The 4,970-nt window shown below is 35.2% G+C and overlaps 1 annotated feature.

The window, feature by feature from the left end:
* Nucleotides 370–1,139: an enhancer, noted in NCBI's record as "OCT4-NANOG hESC enhancer chr18:51377120-51377889 (GRCh37/hg19 assembly coordinates)". NCBI's record gives its function as "activates a minimal SCP1, AML or CMV promoter by ChIP-STARR-seq in naive H9 embryonic stem cells {active_cell/tissue: H9 hESC(naive)}" and the evidence as "EXISTENCE:reporter gene assay evidence [ECO:0000049][PMID:30033119]".

The raw sequence follows: 4,970 nt of genomic DNA, 5'->3' as shown, positions 1-4,970 counted from the left end.
CTCCAGAAAAATAGCAAATAAAGAATAAAGCCATAGGATGCAGGAAACAGAAGATCCAAACCAGAGTGCAGTGAGGGAAAGTGTGTATTAGCCTGGAAAGCAACTAATCCACATATGGAAAGAGAATTAAGACTCCAAAAGGAAGATCTTTGAAAGGGAAAGAAAGGGAAAACAAAATGACACATAATATTATTGTGAATCTAGAAATATTTGAGAATATGCTAAAGGAAATTGGTAAACTGTAAAGAAAAAAAAGAACCCAGTTGAACTAATTCTAAGTCCATTCTACTTTAAGTGAAGAACATGCCACTGGAGGAAGAAATGGAGTCACAGCTTATTACCTAACTCGTTATTAACATGGCATAGTAAATTAATTTAGAATCAGCTGATAGATCATGGAAGACTGTGCTAAGATTATAGGACAAATTATAAACAGTATCAACCGGCCATTATTAAAAGTGTGGACAGAGATGAGAGATGGAAGAAGGAAGAAAGAGAGAAGGAAAGGGTGGGGGCTTTAGTGTCCTGTTGACTTAAAAAGAATAAAACCAAGATATATTCTCTATAATTTATAGACCAAGAAATGAAAATTTAACTAGTGTTGTTGTTATTGCAGAGGTGTTCAGAGGGAAAGCTATAGTGATAAAACTAGAGAGAAAGGTTTGAGAAAGTGGGGAGTGGTGTGAATGAAATCCTCTCATAGCAGGAGGCCAACAGATAAATAGTGGAATAAATGTGCTAATTAAGTATTTGAAGGCAAGGCTCTGGAAAACAAAAAGCAAGCAGTTAAAAGGGTGCCTCTGGGGATTAAGACTCTGTGGGTGGGGAGGCATGGAAAAGAGAATTATTGATTTTCTCTATAAGCCCTTCTGTTCTTTTTGCTTCCTAAACAATATTCACTTTTCTTTATGAAGCAAAGAAAATTAAATGAAAAATTAAATTATAAATAGGAAATTGTTATAAAATAAGGACATTAATTAAGAAGATACTGACAAAAAGTTTAAAACAAAGAACCCACACAGGAAACCTGGAGTTTGCGTTTAAAAATACCACAATTGGAAGCCTAGACCTAGACCAGTTCTTTGAACTGAAATCCTATAGGACTAATTTGCAAAAGACAATTTTAAGAAAAAGAAAAAAAAAGGATTTTCTGAAAATGAAATGAGAAGGATAGAAACATTGCAAAGTTGCAGATCAGAAATCAGGCATATTGGCAGGCCTCTCCCCACCCCATTTTCACTGCCAAAGTTTACAAAACCTGTTATAATGACTTCAGAACCAATATTAAAAAATAATTAAAACATGAAAGGCAAGAAAACACCTAAGAATTAATTGAACTAACTGAAGATTATGGATAAAAAGGAGATAATACATAGTAGACATTGTAGGTGAAGTGTTTCTTAGGTCTTTATTGAAAAAGCAATTAAAGAGATTCTCCCTCTTTTAATTGTTTTTTGAAGTAATTAGATGGAAAGAAATGGATCAAATAACGGCAAATAAGGAGCGAGAATTCAGAAAAAAAGATGAAATCATTTGGCACAAGTGCCACCAGTCTCTTCTCCTGTACCTATATGAAGATGATCTCAGAAAGTTCCTCTACAGTTTTCCAGGATAGCAGCTGGGATTGGTATGTGATATGAGGCCTATGGTACAAGCAAACCCAACTGAAAACAGAAGATAAATAAATCACTTAGCTCCTATTAAATTTCTTCAAGAATTAGACCAAAATGTAACAGGTTTAAGAGAAAGAACACTTCATTGCATTCTGTGGCACAAATATGAAATATCTTCTAGAAGAGGCAAGAACTCAGAATTAGTGGAGCCAAAGATACTTTGGCCAAGGAAGTTATCCAGTGACCTAGTTTCATCTCAGTTTACAAGACCATGATCCATGGTTTAGTTCAAGTCACACTTGAGATAAAGACATTAGTAACACATTACACAGAATTAAAGAATTGAGGTTAAATGTTAAGTGACATGTCCAAGATCAGAAATAAAATTAATAGAAAATCTGACTCAATCTTAGGTGCCTGGTGTCCTAGTCTAAACCCCTTACACTAAATAACATAACAGTAATGTCACAACATATCAAATCCATTCAAGATCCTAACACTAGAGGCTTTAAGTTTAAGAAGCCAGTTGTGATAACTGGAAAATGGCTGTACTGGGCACTGTTACCTTTATGTACTTCTTGGTCCCTAAAGAGCTGGTGTCTTTTATAGTTTTCCTTCAAATGGTAGATACTACAGAATTAAAAGGTGTGTCAGAGACTGGTAGGTATCCACTAGTGAACCTACGTCCTGAATTGTCCAGAAAATTCCTATTTCACATCTGTTGTCACAGCACAATTAGCATTGGCATCATTTTTCTTTCTTAATAGTATGCTATGTTGGAAGATAATTCCTGCATTTCTGTACACACTATGAGGGAGGCAGTAAATGTCCTTTGTTCTGGACTATCTTTTCAAGAATATTTATATAGTGAACAGCCTTGGAAAATAGAGTTAGTTTTTCTCCAGAGCAAAAGGCAGGCATATACTGCTGTTATAAAAGATTTGGATCCCTAAATTAAAAGTTCCTTTCCTGTAATGCCACCAACTGTGTGCATAGGCATCTATCTGCATTGTGCCTGTGGGACTTGGGGACAAAGTAAACTGGTGGAAATATGATGATGCTCATGCTGCTTGCAGAGCAATGAGTAATAAGCCCCCATTCTTCACATTACACATATCTAGTATTGCCATACAATTTAAATATACTACAAGCACACAAGTACAGGGCAGTAGGAGTACAGGGAAAATCTTTGCAATGAGTAAAAGTAAATGTATGATATCTGATATTAGTTATCCAGCTCCAGATGAAGACATGCACATAGAGACATAATTTGAGCCATGCAAGCTAACAATCAAGGTAAGACTGAGAAATTGCAAGTGTGAAATGTACTCAGGGGAGGATGAATGATTTACACTAAAGTGATGTGGTCGGCAGCTTCTTTCAATTCTCATTGTTATGTCCTAGAAGTCCAATTCACTGCCTTATTGAAATGGCTTCATTAAGCAAGTACAATTTGAAGAGGGATCTCAGAGAATTCAAATACTTTCCATGGCAAATGAGCAAGGGAAAACTGGCTAACAACTGACTTCATAAATCAAGCAGTATCTGTATGTAATACATTTCACAAAATGCTTATTGTATAGTTGAGATACAATGATTTCAAGGCAAAGTTTGTTACCTAAAAAACATGAAATTTTGTTTGTCTTCAGTACCAACATTAAAAATACCAATTCAATTTTGTAGCAGGGAAGGAAGTAGTTAGGCAGTTTCATGGAGAATATGGGACTAGAGGTATGCCCTGAAAAATAGAATGTTGGGAAGTGGAAATCTTGTTAATAGTTGAATATGACCAAATGGTTCCTCATTTAATGGAAAGGTTTTAATAACAAGTGTCTTAATATTATTATTGTCTCTTGGAATCTTTAGATTAGTGCAAGGTTGCTCTTAGGGCATGAAACTTCCTGAAGATGAAATAGAAACTTTGATAGGGAGTACTGGATTTGAGATAGATAGTATTCAGAATTCTTAGGTGCCATATATAATACTGAAAAGGGAAAGATTCCTTTGGGTTGAGATTCCTTAGACATGTTCTTTTGGAGTAAATGGGGGAGTTAGACAGGGTTTTAAAGGAATTGAGAATAAATGTGGCTCAAATAAACTCTTGGGCTAAGCTCTGTGATATGGTTTGTCCCTACCCAAATCTCATCTTGAATTGTGGTTCCTGTAATCCCCACATGTCATGGGAGGGACATGTGGGAGGTAACTGAATCATAGAGGCAGTTACCCTCATGCTGTTCTCATGATAATGAGTGAGTTCTTAGGCGATCTGATGGTCTTATAAAGGGTTTTTCCTTCTTTTATCATTCTTCTCCTTCCTGCCTCCATGTGAAGAAGGATGAGTTTGCTTACCCTTTTGCCATGATTGTAAGTTTCCTGAGGCCTCCCCAGCCATGTGGAACTGTGAGTCAATTAAATCTCTTTCCTTTATGAAGTACCCAGTCTCAGGCAGTTCTTTATTGCAGTGTGAGAACAGAATAATATGCGCTATCTTTGCTACTATTCATGTTTTTTTAAAAAATGTAATTGTAGTAAAATACACCTAACATAAAATTTACCATCTTAACCACTTTTAAGTATACAGTTCAGTGGTATTGTGTTCACAGTGTTGCACAGCCAATATTCAAAACTTTTCTGTCTTGCAAAATGTTACTGTATATCCTAAAACACAACTCCCTATTTTCCCCTCCCGTAAGCCCCTGGCAACCACTTAAGAACTTTCTTTTTCTATGAATCTGACTATTCCAGATACCTCATGTAAGTGGAATAATGCAGTATTTGTATTTTTGTGACTGGCTTATTTCACATATTCTCAAGGTGCATCCATGTAGCATGTGTCATAATTTCCTTTTTAAGGCTGAATAATATTCCATTGTATACATATACACCACAATTTGTTTATTCATCCATTGATGGACATGTAGGTTGCTTTTAACTCTGGCTATTGTGAATAATGCTGCTATGTACAAGGGTGTATAAATATCTCTCTGGGACCTGACTTTCAATTCTTTTAAATATATACCTATAAGTAGAATTGCTAGATCATATGGTAATTACAGGTTTAAGTTTTTAGGTACTGCCATACTGTTTTTTATACAACTGTACCATTTTTGTTTCCACCAACAGTTTATACAGTATATAAGGATTTCAGTTTCTCCATATTCTTACCAACACTTGTTATTTTCTGATTTTTTTAATAGTAGCCATTGTAATGAGTGTAAAGTGATATATCATTGCATCACTCTATTGATTAGTGATGTTGAGCATCTTTTCATATGCTTGCTGGCCTATTTGTGTAACTTTTTCAGATAAATGTCTATTAGAGTCCTTTGGTCATTTTTTAATCAGTTTTTTTTTGTT

This window comes from Homo sapiens, chromosome 18 (genome assembly GCF_000001405.40).
Source record: "Homo sapiens chromosome 18, GRCh38.p14 Primary Assembly".
Lineage (NCBI taxonomy): Eukaryota > Metazoa > Chordata > Mammalia > Primates > Hominidae > Homo > Homo sapiens.
Note: the sequence above shows the minus strand (reverse complement) of the source record. Positions and strands in the feature narration are given on the sequence as shown.